At 52.3% G+C, this 14,200-nt stretch overlaps 1 protein-coding gene across 17 annotated transcripts in view; it reads right to left on the minus strand.

Annotated features, from left to right (window-relative positions):
- Positions 1–14,200, minus strand: part of CFAP46 (cilia and flagella associated protein 46) — a 134,179-nt gene that overhangs the window by 61,065 nt on the left and 58,914 nt on the right. For 16 of the 17 annotated variants that reach the window (XR_007061969.1, XR_007061970.1, XR_007061971.1 and 13 more), the window contains exons 28-32: positions 11,405–11,576; positions 9,970–10,175; positions 8,425–8,631; positions 7,356–7,505; positions 3,220–3,368 (exon numbers count right to left, since the gene is read on the minus strand). Coding sequence is in view for 14 of the 17 variants with exons in the window: in NM_001200049.3 (NP_001186978.2) it covers positions 3,220–3,368; positions 7,356–7,505; positions 8,425–8,631; positions 9,970–10,175; positions 11,405–11,576 (884 nt within the window). In the remaining 3 variants the exon portion in view is untranslated. Of the gene's footprint in view, positions 1–2,100; positions 2,315–3,219; positions 3,369–7,355; positions 7,506–8,424; positions 8,632–9,969; positions 10,176–11,404; positions 11,577–14,200 lie in introns of those variants that run through there. The other variant, XM_047425398.1, reaches the window with a different exon arrangement.

Below are 14,200 nucleotides of genomic sequence, written 5' to 3' on the forward strand. Positions count from 1 at the left end.
ACGGTCAACTAACACATCGAGGCACACTTGGATGGTATTTTCAATCATTTTTAAAGGTAAGCGAAATTACTAGGGAAAAGTGCCCGGTAGCTCCATCAAATTTCAAGTGGGATTCTTCTCCCGCTCCTTCACAGATCTCGTGCGAGGCATTATCTGTTGCCTCCTGGACGCCGTCCGAGGAGAAGAGGAGGCCCTCAGGTGGGCTCAGCACCCACCACAATAAGCAGAGAAGCCTCGACTCCTGTTGAAAACCCTATTCTTGTAAAATGCTTTCAGGCAAGCAGGAAAGTTGCACAGACACCAGGAAGCATCCCTGTGCGGGCCCCGGTGGTCCCTCTTAGCCCCGTGACCACGCCTGCTCCAGCCTCCTCTCCCGTGCCCGCCCCTGGGATATCTGAGCAAGCTGAGGATGCAACTTGCAGCCTTTCTCCCGGATCCTTCAGGGCACAGGCGCCTCCATTTATCAAACTGTGCTGTATTGCGCTGCTCAGATGTTGCATATTTTACAAATTGAAAGTCTGGGGCAGCCCTGAGCGACCAAGTCCATCGGCGCCATTTTCCCACAGCACCTGCTCACTCGGTGTCTCTGTGTCACATTTTGGTAATTCTCAAAATATTTCAAACTTTGTCATTATTATGATTGTGTTATGGTGATCTGTGTTCAGTGATCTTTGCGGTTACCATTGTAATTGTTTTGGGGCACCATCAGCCACGCCCATATGAGACGGTGAACTGAGTCGATAAATGTCCCGTGGGCTCTGATTGCTCTGCAGCTTGGCCGCTCCCGCATTTCTCTCCCTCCCCTTGGGCCTCCCTATTCCCCAAGACACAGAAATTTTGAAATTAGGCCAGTTAATAACCCTACGATGGGCTCTTAAGTGTTCCAGAGAAAGGAACAGGCGCACGTCTCTCACGTTAAAGAAAAGCCAAAAATGATTCAGTTCAGTGAGGAAAGCGCGTCAGAAGTGGAGACAGACTGCAAGCTCGGCCCCTGCACCAGTTAACCAAGCTGTAAGTGTGAAGGGAAAGTTCTGAAAGGAAATGAGAAGCTCCTACAGGGAACATATGAATACAAATGACGAGAAGGTGGAGCCGCCTCAGTGCCGGTATGAAAAAGTTTCCGTGGTCTGCGCCGAAGATCAAACCAGTCACAATATTCCTTCAGGCCGAAGTCTCATCCAGAGCCAGGCCCTCACTCTCTTCAATCCCATGAACGCTGGGAGACGTGAGGAAGCTGCAGAAGAAGTTTGAAGCGGCAGAGGTGGGCTCGTGAGGTTTCTGGACAGAAGCTGTCTCTGTCACATAAAAATGCCAGGTGAAGCAGCAAGTGCTGATGGAGAAGCTGAAGCCAGTTAGCCGGAAGATCCAGCTAATAAGAGCATGGATGGTGGCTACGCTAAACAACAGATTTCCACTGTAGACCGCACAGCCTTCTATTGGAAGAAGATGCCTTCTAGGACTTTCAGAGCTAGAGAAGAAAAGTCAATGCCTGGCTTCCAAGCTTCCAAGCACAGGCTGACTCTCTTGCTAGGGGCTAACGCAGCCGGGGACTTTGAGTTGAAGCCAATCCTCATTCACCATTCTGAAAATCCCAGGGCCTTTAAGAATGATGCTCAATCTACTCTGCCTGTGCTCCGTAAGTGTACAACAAAGCCTGGTGACAGCACATCTGTTGACAGCATGGTTTGCTGAATATTTAAAGCCCACTGTTGAGACCTACTGCTCAGAAAAACAGATTCCTTTCCAAATAGTACTGCTCATTGGCAATGCTTTGGCCACCCAAGAGTGCTCACGGAGACATACAAGGAGACGAATGCCTTCTCCGTGCCTGCTAACACCACTGCTAACACTGCACCCATGCAGTCCATGGATCAAGGAGGCATTTCGACTTTCAAGTCTTACTATTTATGAAGCACATTTAATAAAGTTATAGCTGCCGCAGAGAGTGATTCTTCTGATGGATCTGGGCAAAGTGAATTGAAAACCTTCTGGAAAGGATTCACCATTCTAGATCCCATTAAGAACATTCCTGATTCATGGGAGGAGGCCAAAATAGCAACATTAACAGGAATTTGGAAGAAGTTGATTCCAAACCTCATGGATGACTTTGAAGGATCCAAGATTTCAGTAGAAGGAGCTACAGATGTGGAGGAAATAGCAAGAGAAGTAGAATCAGAAGTGGAGCCTGAAGATGGCACTGAATTGCTGCAATCTCAAGAGAAAACTTGAATGGATGCGGAATTGCCTCTTATGGATGAGCAGAGAAAGTGGTTTCTTGAGATGGGATCTGCTCCTGGTAAAGATGCTGTGAACACTGTGGAAATGACAAAAGGGACCTAGAATATTCCATACATTGAGTTGATAAAGTGGCAGCAGCATTTAAGAGACTGACTCCAATTTTGAAAGAACTTCTGCCATGGGTAAAATTCCATCAAACATCATTGCATGCTACAGAGAAATCTTTTGTGAAAGAGTTGATCCATGTGGCAAATTTTATTGTTGTCTTATTTTAAGAAATTGCCAGCCTTTTTAGCATTTTTAGTACATACATTTTAAATGGATGTATGTACATTTTTTAGACATAAGGCTATCACACACTTAATAGACTACAGAATAGTGTAAACCTAACTTTTATATACTCTGGAAAACCAAAAAATTCATGTGACTTGTTTTAATGTGATATTTGTTTTGTTTTGGAACACAACCTGCAATATCTCCAAGATATGCCTGTATTTCCTTAAAACAAGAATATTCTCCTAAGGATCAGGTAGAAATTTTAAAATAAAAATATCATATTTTATCTTTTAAATTTTTAGTAACAGCATCATGCTCTGTTGCCCAGGCTAGAGTGCAGGGGCATGATCATAGCTCACTGCAGCCTCCATTTCTTAGGCTCAGGTGATCCTCTTGCCTCAGCCTCCTGAGTAGTTGCGACAACAGGTGTGTGTCACCATACCTGGCTAATATATTTTTTAAATTTTTTGTAGAGATGGGGTCTTGCTATGTTGCCCAGGCTGGTCTCAAACTCCTGGGATCAAATAGTCCTCCCGTCCCAACCAAAAATACCATTTTCATATTCAAATATTTTTATTTACTTGGTGTTCAAGTCCCAGGGACTTTATTATTTACACAGTCAACTACAGAATTAATACCTTAACATGTTGTTTATTTTTGTTTTGCTTTGGGGAAATCACACTCCGAAAAAGGAGCTGTACCCACCGAAGGTGGTAGAGATCCGACAGGCCCTTGCTTCCCACCACGGAGTCCGAAATCAGCACCCCCAACTGCAGGACGGGAACCGTGAGTTCGTGCAGGCACATCTTCTGCAGGGCCTTGACCAGGTGGTCCAGGAAATACAAACTGTATGTCTACATGGACACATAACACACACAGGAGGTCACAGGAGCGGGTGTAGACCACAAGCATAAGGGTCTTTCCTCAGAGAACTCCCTCCCTCCCCATGCCAGCACATGTCTGCACACAGCAGGTGCTCAGCGCGTGTCCGCACACAGCAGGTGCTCAGTGCGTTTCTGTGGGATGGATGGAGGCTGTGCTATCTTCCTTCCCTCTTCCACTCATGGGTTTCATTTTGTCACGTGATAATCTTTGTGAACATCAGCACCCAAGTATGAAGATCCTCACAAGAAACACACCCTTATGTGTTTGTTTCATTTTTCCACTAAAAACTACTGACTCATTAGAGACAGAATTTCTTTGTGTGCACACACAACCACTTACAAATTTAATATATAGAGAAGAGCTAATGCTTCTTATTATGTTGGACTTGGTTTGTTAAAACCATTACTCTTGAGTGGGAAATTAGGAAAGTTGGATGACTTGTCGCAAAAATGTACTTCTAAGAACTGGAGGATAATCAATATCCAAAGAATGACTGGGCCAAGATCTGGAAGTCAGTATGCATCCAGGGACACAAGCCTGGCTATCAGGCACTGAGGCATCCAGCGACACGAGCCTGGCTGTCAGGCACTGAGGCATCCAGGGATACGAGCCTGGCTGTCAGGCACTGAGGCATCCAGGGATACGAGCCTGGCTATCAGGCACTGAGGCAGCTGAGGGCCCCATGGTGCTCCGCATCGTGCTGCAGGCTGGGCTTAGAAAACGGGGTTCAGGGCCCACCAAGAGCTCCACTCTCTCACTCTCTCTCTCAGGCTGGGTTCTTGAAGGGCTGCACCTCAGAATTCCAGGCAATCTAGGAGGAGGCCGTCCCCTCAGGGATGACAACCAGGCAGAGGGGCCGTGCGGGTGGCCTGGAAAGCACAGGGTCCTTTGAGAGGTCAATGGAATTGATCACTCCCAGTGAGGCTGATCGGGAGAGCGAGCGAGGGGTGACAGGGCTCTACAGGTCCCACAGGCATTAAAAGGTAATACAAGGACATTGAGAACAACTTCATGGCAATACATCCAAAATGTATTTTCAATAAAAACATCCCAGAAAAACACAACCTATGAAAACTGTTACAAGAAGAAACAGAAACTCTGAAGAATTCTATAACTATGAAATAAATTGGATCCATAATTTAAAATTTTCCCAAACAGAAGCTCTGGGCTCAGATGGCTTTACCAGGGAATTCTTCCACGCATTTAAGGATGAAATAACCACCAATCTTATACAAATTTCTCCTAAGAATGGTCAGAAAGGAACACTTGTAACTGACTAAAAGGCCAGCGTAACTTTTACCACATCCTGAGGAGGACACACATGAAAGGAAAATCAAACATCGTCCTCCTCACAAGCACAGATGCACACACCCCGGAAACAAGTGCCGCCAACCAAAGCTGGTGACATAAAGTGAGTGACAGCACAGCCAAGCTGCCCTATTGTGATAATCATTAGAAAGAATCAAGGTAATTAATTCAAGGAATGAAGGAGGAAAACATCATCTGCATAGATGGAGAAAAATATAAAAGCATTCATGACTAAAATTATTAGCGAATAGAAATAAACTTCCTTCATCAATAAAGATCGATAAAAACCTACAACTGCCCTATTGTGATAATCATTAGAAAGAATCAAGGTAATTAATTCAAGGAATGAAGGAGGAAAACATCATCTGCATAGATGGAGAAAAATATAAAAGCATTCATGACTAAAATTATTAGCGAATAGAAATAAACTTCCTTCATCAATAAAGATCGATAAAAACCTACAACTGCCCTATTGTGATAATCATTAGAAAGAATCAAGGTAATTAATTCAAGGAATGAAGGAGGAAAACATCATCTGCATAGATGGAGAAAGATATAAAAGCATTCATGACTAAAATTATTAACGAATAGAAATAAACTTCCTTCATCAATAAAGATCGATAAAAACCTACAACAAACATCAATTATACTTCAGAGTAAAATGCTGGAAACTTTCCTTTGAGATAGGATGTGCAACATAAAAATAGATGTTATCACCATTTTCATTCAACCTCATACCGGAGGTCCTTGCCAGAATATAAGGCAAGGTAAAGAAAAAACAGTGTAAAGAGTGGAAACTAAAAAAGAAAAATGTGTTTGCAGATAAAACGATGATGTACACACAAAATCCAAAATAATCTACAGACAAATTACTAAAGTTATAAAGAGCTTAACAAAATGGATGCTTACAAGGCCAAAATGAAAACAATTACATTTCTATAGTTTATCTGGAGTTTAAACATGAAACAAAAAAGCTATATTTACAACAGCATCAAAAATATCAAATACACAGAAATAAATCTGACATGCATAACTGCCAAGCAGAAAACTCTGGTCTATTGTTAAGAGATGCTGAAGAAGACCTACGTCAATGGAGAGACAGACCATGTCCATGGATCAAAAGGCTGAACACCATAACAATGTCAGTTCTCCATAAAGTAATTTACAGATTCAATGCAATGTCAGTAAAAACTCTACCAGGGTTTGTGATGGGTCTGACACACTGATTCTAAAATACACATGGACATGCAATGGAGAATAAAAGGAATAGCCCAACCGTCCTGAAGAATGAGGTAAGGAGATTTTCTCTACCAAATACTCACGGTTGTGAAGCTCAGTAATTGACAATGAGATGATGATGCCAAGGACAAAAAACTAACAGAAAGCAAGAGAGACCCCAAAGCAGCCCCATGCACAGGTGGGCAACTGCTCATGCCCAGTGCAGCCAGCAGGGAAGGCAGCCAGTGACATTTCAGGAAGTGGTGTCAGAACAATGGGACACCCTGACTGCCATGCTTGAGGCTTGACCCCTACCTCACACCACACACACATCAAGTTCAGATGACAGGCAAAACTACAAAGGTGCAAAATATTTCCACTTTTTGGAAAAATACTATAACAGAATATCTGTACAACCTCCAGAAATGAAAACATCAAAAAAAAGGACACACAAAAAACTGACTAATTACAAAGGAAAAGACTAATGACTCTTATTACATTAAAACTACTAATCCCTGTTCCCAAAAAGACCTCCTTAACAGAGTGGAAAGGCAAGGCACAAAGTGGAGGCAGATCTGCTGGTCACATGGCTGCTCATGTGATTTTCCAGAATAAAGGATTCCTTCAAACCAATCAGGAAAAGTCAGAAAGCTTAATTAAATATGGGCGACAGCCTGGAGGGCACATCACAAAAGAGGACCTCCAAGGATAGGAAGCACTGAAGGCCAACCTCACTGTGGCCAGGGGTGTCCCATTAAACCAAGGGGAATGCCCCTGCCCACCCACCGGCTGCTGATATTGAGGGGAGTGGCATCAGCAGGGATCTGCGCAGGGCCACTCTACCCACAGCGGGCACGGCAGTGAACTGAATGACCACTATGGAGGGCAGCATGGCAGCGTGGCACCAAACACCGCAGGTGGAGATGGTCCAGGTGTGCCCTAAATGCAATTCTGTGGGAGGGAGCGGGAGATTTGATCCACACAAAAGAGGAGGCCACGTGACCACAGAGGCTGACCGGGATGAGGAAAGAGGGATCTTCCCCGGCCCCTTTGGAGGGTGTGCCACCCTCCCGACACCTGGATTTGAGCCCAGGGACACTGATTTTCGGCTTCCGGCCTCCAGAACCATGAGGGGATCAATTTCTGTTGTTTTAACCATGCGGTTGTGGGAGCTTGTCATGAACACCTGTCCTGTCTCACTAGGTACGTGTTGGACTTGAGTGGGGAAAGAAGGAAGGCTTTCCTAAGTGTCGGCAGTTGAGGGCAGACAGTGGTGCTGGGAGGGCCTGTGGGAGGCTGGGGGCTGATGGGACTCTGTCCTGTCCTCCTTTTTCTGGCTACAGTTCACAGTGAAAACTGGACTTGGGGACAGGTCAAGGGGACACCATGCTGTGACCAAGGTCTTGAGCCTTTTCTTTATGTCAACGTACCGGCTTCTGGATACTTGAGGGGTTCACAGTAGAGTCACTTCTGTCCTGTTTCAGTACAGACAGCACTTCCTCGGGGCAGGAGTAGGAAGCCCACTCTTCTATGCTCATGGGTAAGTCTTCCAGTTGTTTGATAGGAGCTGGGCTTTGAGACTAGAAAGGCAAGAATACAGGATTTACCTGAAACGGTGGAGGTGAAACAGCAGACACCCCCGGCCCACCGGCATGGCTGTGCAGCATTCAGGCCACAGCCCTGGGCAGCCGGCATCCTCCCCACCACCAGGTCCCAGCGAGTGCCCAGATCCAGCCTCTGATACTGTTTCCAGGCAGTGCACGCAAAGCTTTCTGCCCCGTGCACAGCCAGAGTTGGCCTGGGGGTGCCCAGGCTCAGGACTCCCGAGAGCTAAGGCTCTGCAGCCTCTGCCTCCTGCGTCTCCCCTCAGTGACAGCTGGCTGGTGAGCTCAGCAGTGCTCGTGCTGGGGTCCGGGTGTGAGCGTCCCATGAACTCAGCAGTGCTCGTGCCGGGGTCCAGGTGTGAGCGTCCTGCTCTGGGGAGCTGGGCAGCCAAGTGGTTTCTCAGACCTGCCCAGCACTTTGAGAAGTGGATACTTGCAGAGAGAAAGGTTTCATGAGATGAAAAAAACACTTTTCTCACTGCTCTGGGACCCAGGCCCTGGGCTGTGTCTGCTGCCATGGCCTCTGAGCCTGGCAGACCTGGGACAACGTGCTCTGTGCAAACTGCGTGCATTACGTGGCTAGCTCCAGGCCCGGGATTCCTGCCAGGGACAAGCCAGGGTGCTTTACAGACATTCCCCTGTATTGTCCTCCAAGAACCCTGACAGGGAGAGAAACTGAGGCACAGAGGCCAGCCGGGGCCCAGCCTCTGCACTGAGGCCACCTGGGGCTCCTCCGAGAACCCTGACAGGCAGGGAAACTGAGGCACAGGCCATCCCGGGCCCGGCCTCTGCACTGAGGCCGCCTGGGGCTCCTCCGAGAACCCTGACAGGCAGGGAAACTGAGGCACAGGCCATCCTGGGCCCGGCCTCTGCACCGTGGCCACTTGGGCATCACCTGCTTGGGCTCCTTGACTTTCTCCTCCTTTCCCTTCTCCTTGTCCTTCTCTTTACTCCTCTCATTCTCCTTCTCTTTACTCCTCTCCTTCTCCTTCTCTTTACTCCTCTCATTCTCCTTCTCTTTTTTAGGCAATAACAGATGTGAGCTGGTTGCTGCCAGGGGTCTGTTTTCCAGAACTGATTTTCCTGCTGTCATCAAAGAAACCTGGTGGGGATGAAATCCACATTTGCAGCACTGAAAACCCACCCACCGCCCACTCTGCCCACCCTCCACTCCTGGATGAGGGACGCTCAGACCCGCGGGGCTCCCCAGACTCTAGTGCTCTGGTGGTCTTGCGTCCCCGTCAGCTGCCATCAGGGGAGCCCCTAGAGCACGGAGCTGGGCTGGCCCGGGGTGTGGGCACCGGGGGCTGCAGGGACATGCCCGTGAGCCTGCTGGCTCCGCGGGTGTCCCTCAGTCTCACTCCACTGTCAGGGACACAGCGGGACACCCCTGGCCCTGGGGCTCCCTGCTGGCCATCCCGCACTCTCCCTGCAGCGGCCCTTGTTGGGGATGTACCCAGGCAGGGAGGACGCTAGGCACGCCTCCTTGGCAGGCCCTGCGGGCCCCTCGCGGCCCTGACACCTGGGGGTCTGGGGCAGGCGTGGCTGGCCCTGGGGGAGACTTGCCACTCCTTGGGTGAATGAGTTCGAGGTCTCTAATTAAGAACACATGAGAATAACATTGAGCAATTCTCCTAGAAGAGTCACAAAGAATGGCAGCGTGGGCGCCCACAGCCCCGGGTCTGGCAGTGGTTGAGGCTGGTGGGGGGTTAGCGTGGAGCATTCTGAAGACGGGATAGGGGGGCCTCCCTGCCTTTCCTGCTCTGCCCACGGCTGGGCGGTGGCCCTCTTGATCCTGAGATGCCCTATGGGGGCTCCGGGCAAACTCATCCTCAGAAGAAAGGCCTGCCATGCCTGGCGCTGCCCTGCTGGGGTGTAGCCTGCGGGAGGCCTAGACAGACGCACGGGGAGGCCCCCGACAGCTGCTCCTGGTGGGCTTTACAGGGAGAGGTGGTAGGAGGAGCAGGACAAGGAGGGGGGTGGGAGTGGGAAGAAGGCTCTGGAAGCCCCGTCAGCGGGCGGTTCAGGAGCTGTCGGGCCCCAGCTAACAGAGGCGCCTGCCGCTGCCTTGGTGTGGCGAGCCAGGCAGAGGCAGTTTTGGGTGGTGGTCTGCAAGGGTGCCAGGGCGGGTGTCAGGGAGGACCGGCTGATCTGGAGGGAGCCACGAGCCCCTCCCTTGGGGAGTGCTGGGAATGTGGAGGGTGCAGGAATGAAGAGGGGAGTCTTTTGTTTTGGGGGAGTCTCTTGTTTTTATGCTGATGGGAACCATTCAGGAGAGAGGAAGAATCTGGATGTCGCAGGAAATTGCTCACATCTCAAAGGTCTTTAGGAAATGCTGGGAAAGACTCTGACATCTTTACAACGCTCACTGCGGTTTCCCCAGCCCGCGGCCCGTCCCGGGAGGTGCTGCAGGAGCAGGGGAGTCTGCGCTGGGCCTCACCTGCCAGATGTGCCTGAAGAAGGCGTAGGCTGCAAGGCAGCAGTCCTCGTAGCCCTCGGCGCCCGGCGACAGCACCAGGGCCAGCAGGATGTGCACGCGGGCCAGCGCCTCCAGCTGCCGCACGCTACGCAGCTGCTCCAAGGACACCGCCTCCTCGGCCTCGGACACGGGGCTCCGTGGGGGCATCTCCACAGCCACGTACTCCCCTGAAACACGGGGTGCCCGAGGCTGAGAGCAGGCCCGGCTACGGGTCTGTGGGCCCCAGGCCACTCCCTTCCCTGCCCGAGGCTGTGGTGGACTGCCCGGTGCCTCGCGGACACCCGGTGCTCCACTCTGCTGAGGGCCGGCAGCCAGGGGAAGAGTCACGTGTTGTACTTACTCTGCGAAGGCTGAGCTTGGCTGCCCCCTCACCCCCAGGGGCAGTTCCAGTCTCAGCTCCAGCCCCAGGCCCCCAGACCCCGAGAGCTCTCCTGCTGCCCTGTGTGTCCTGGAAGCCTCATGAGCTGCACCTGGCCTGGGCACCCCGTTCCTGTCCCAGACTGTCCCAAGGGCCTGGGAGTTCTGAGCAGGGCCCCCACTCATCCTGACAGGGGGCTAGAACCGCGGCCACAGGGAGGGTGGCCCTGAGCAAGCCAGCATTGTCGAGTGCTCTAGGATGGCCCTGCTGTGCGCACGTGTGTGTGTGTGCATGTATGTGTGTGTGTGTGTGTGGAGTGGCCACCCTAGCTGGGCTCTGCCGGCCTCTGCTCTTCACGGCAGGACTGCCGAGCCACCCCATGGGACTCTCCGTGCGCACCTGCGCTCCCCACAGAGTTTCTGCCCCGGGTCACCCTGGGCTGATGCCCAGGCACTGGCAGTGTTTAAGCCCTGGATGATGCCAGTGGGGCCGCCATTGTCTGCCCAGGTCCCCACTTGCCAGCAAACACCCACTTTCCTGCACTGCTGTGAGCAGGGGCTGGGTGGCCAAGGGCCTGCTGAGGAGCAGTAGCTGGAGAATGGAGCCCCCACCTCGAGTCAGAAGCAACTTTGGGGATGGCTGAGGTGCCCACAGGGTCTGAGGTGCTCTGGACCCCCGCTCCCCCGGCCTCCTGAGGAAGGCTGCCTCTGGGCCGGCCCAGCTGTGTGCCCGAGAACATGCCTTCCGCCTGACCTGGATGGAACCTTTCTGTGAAGGTCATCTGGTGGCAGTCAGGCTGAGTCCCTCAGGGCCCCTGCAGAGGACAGCACTGAGACACGTCAGGGGCCCCTGCAGAGGACAGCACTGAGACACGTCAGGGGCCCCTGCAGAGGACAGCGCTGAGACACGTCAGGGGCTCCTGGCCTCCAAAGCCTGCACAGACACATGGATACCCAACGGCGGTCCAGATCACGGAGCAGGAAGCAGAGCTCTGGGGAGCGGCGTGGGGTCGGCACCCTGCCAGCGGCGTGGGCTCACCATCCGGCGTGGGCTGTGGCTCAGGGACATCGCCGGGCGGCTTCATGGCCAGCAGGATCTCGACAGCCCAGCGGAGGTGGAAGACCACGTCCTCGAGAGGAAAGTGTCTGTGATGGAGCCACTGGCCGAACTCCATGAGGTACTCCACCTTCTGCCACTCCATCTCAGGCTTCTGTGGGATTGAACAGGAAGGGTGACATCCTCAGGATGGCCCTGAAGGCGTTCCTGACGCAGTGGAATACTTTTATTGCTCATTTTCTACAAGAAAAGCTTCATTCTTACCCCCACAGTGATCATTTGCAGGCCGCCTCTAATGAGACCAAGTTGCCATTTAGGCTCATTGGGACATTTCAGGTGCAGTTGTTTCTTTTCACAAGCAGAGGTGGGAAGGCTGCAGCTTGGCGAATTCCTTCCCCGTCTCCTCACCCTTTGCAGATGCCACCCTCCTGGGGACTCCCGGGTCCCCAGACATTCCCTGCACCGCAAGAGGACACAGGACAGGGGTCCTGCTGTCGCTCTGTCTGCAGGTGGCCCTCTCTGGGTGGCTCTGTGGGCAGCCCCATGTCCCTGCTGGAAAGGAGGCCTCTGCAGGGTAGGAAAGGTGTTTGCCCTGTCCTGCGTCCAGATGCAGAGCCCAGTCCAAGGCCTGGCCTGTGCAAACTTGGCCATCATCGCTACAGAATTGTATGAGGCTGCCCTAACCTGACCCTTGCAGAGCAGAGCCTCAGCCCTGAGAGCCAGGGTTAGCCTGCACCGCACCCTCCGCAGCCCTGCGAGCCGGGGTTAGCCTGCACCGCACCCTCCGCAGCCCTGCGAGCCGGGGTTAGCCTGCACCACACCCTCCCCTCCACAGGTGCTGCTGGGGCCACGGCCACACTCTTCTCCAGCAGGGTGGACCTCGCACTGGCACCACACCACGTGCCATGCACAGATGTCGCCGCCACTTCATTTCTGCTGTCAAATATCTGTGGCTCTCTGAGCGCTGGCCCATGCCACTTATTCAGCCCACGAATCTGCTGGGGGTTCCCTCTGTGCTCGGCACTCACACTGCATCAGCTGTCACAAGCAGGTCCCCATGGGGTGTGAGTGGTGCATGTGGGATGTGGGGTGTGTGTGGTCTGTGTGGGATGTGGGGTATGTGTGGTGTGTGTGGGATGTAAGGGGTGTGTGGTGTGTGTGGGATGTGGGGGGTGTGTGGTGCGTGTGGGATGTGGGGTGTGAGTGGTGCGTGTGGGATGTGGGGTGTGTGTGGTCTGTATGGGATGTGGGGTGTGAGTGGTGTGTGTGGGATGTGGGGTGTGAGTGGTGTGTGTGGGATGTGGGGTGTGAGTGGGATGTGGGGTATGAGTGGTGTGTGTGGGATGTGGGGTGTGAGTGGGATGTGGAGTGTGTGAGTTGTGTGTGGGGGTATTGGGTGTGAATGGTGTGTATGAGATGTGGGTTACAGGTGTGAAGGTGTGGCCTGTGGGGTGTAGTATAGGCTGTGTGGGGGTGGGATACGTGGGGTGTGTCTTGGTCACAGCTGTGGGCTGTTAAGTTGGGTGTGTCCATGGGTCTAGGTGCAAGGTGTGGGTTTGTTGTGGATGTCGGGTGTAAGTCCAGCCACCGGAGGATGGAGCTGCAACATCTCGAGGGGGAAGGCAAGAAGAAGGATGGTGGGAAAAGCAAGCGTTTGGTTTTGGGTAAGATGCTGGCCCCAGGGCGGGGCCAGGCAGGCAGCAGGATTCACAGGTCTAGCGGGTGGGGGGTCTGGGCTAGAGAATTGCTTGTGGGTAAAATGGGCGGCAGCGGTGCTTAGCTCAGGACGTGCAGTGAGATCAGATGGCCAAGGTCCTGCCCTTAGCCCGGGGCCTCCTCTGTCATGAAGAGGTGGGAAGGGGAGGAGGACGAGGAACCAGTGAGGTGGTGGGGCTTGGGAGCCACGTGAAGGATGCCCATGGATGGGGAAGGAGGGGAGCAGCTGTGGAGGCCGATGGTGGCTCCCACAAAAGCTGTGTACGCGGGGGAGGGCCTTGGCCCTGATGGGAGGTTCAAGGGAGAGCAGGTCATCTTCTCAACAGAAGTGCGGGGCCAGCTGGCATCCACAGGCTGAGGAGTGCCGGGGACCCTGCCTCACACTGTATAACTCATTAACATAACAGCTACAACCATAAAACTCAGAAGAAAACAGGGGAACCAACCTTCAAGACCTTGGGTTATGCAACAGTTTCGCAGATATAATGCCAGAAACACAAGCAACAAAACAAGACACAGACAACTAGAATTTCATCACAATTTAAAACGTGTTTGTGCCACAAATCATGGCATCCAGAAAGTGGAGACGTGGCTGAAAAAGCAGCTCACAGAACGAGAAAGGGTTTGTAGATGAGGCTCCTGCTAAAGAACCTGCATCCACGATACACCATGAGCTCCTCTAAAGCAACGAAAACCAACCAACCAGATTAAAAATGGGCAAAGGACTGCAATGAACACTTCTCCAACAACCTACAAATGGCCCATAAGCACATGGGAATATGCACCCCATCATCAGTGGCTGGGAAAATACAGGCAAACACGAGGAGACACCCCTTTCACCCCTGCCGGCACAGCTAGAATAGTCAGACGACATCAAGAGCTGGTGAGCGTGTGGAGAAACCGCAGCCCACGCCCTGCAGGCGGGAAGGCAACCCTGTGAGGCCGCTGTGGGAGACAATCTGGCACTTCATCTGATGGCCCCACACAGGGCGACCGTGTGCCCAGCAACTCCACTGCTGGGCTGTGCCCCCGGGGGACGAGGACCGGGCCACGCCAGAACTC

This window comes from Homo sapiens, chromosome 10 (genome assembly GCF_000001405.40).
Source record: "Homo sapiens chromosome 10, GRCh38.p14 Primary Assembly".
Taxonomy (NCBI): Eukaryota; Metazoa; Chordata; class Mammalia; order Primates; family Hominidae; genus Homo; species Homo sapiens.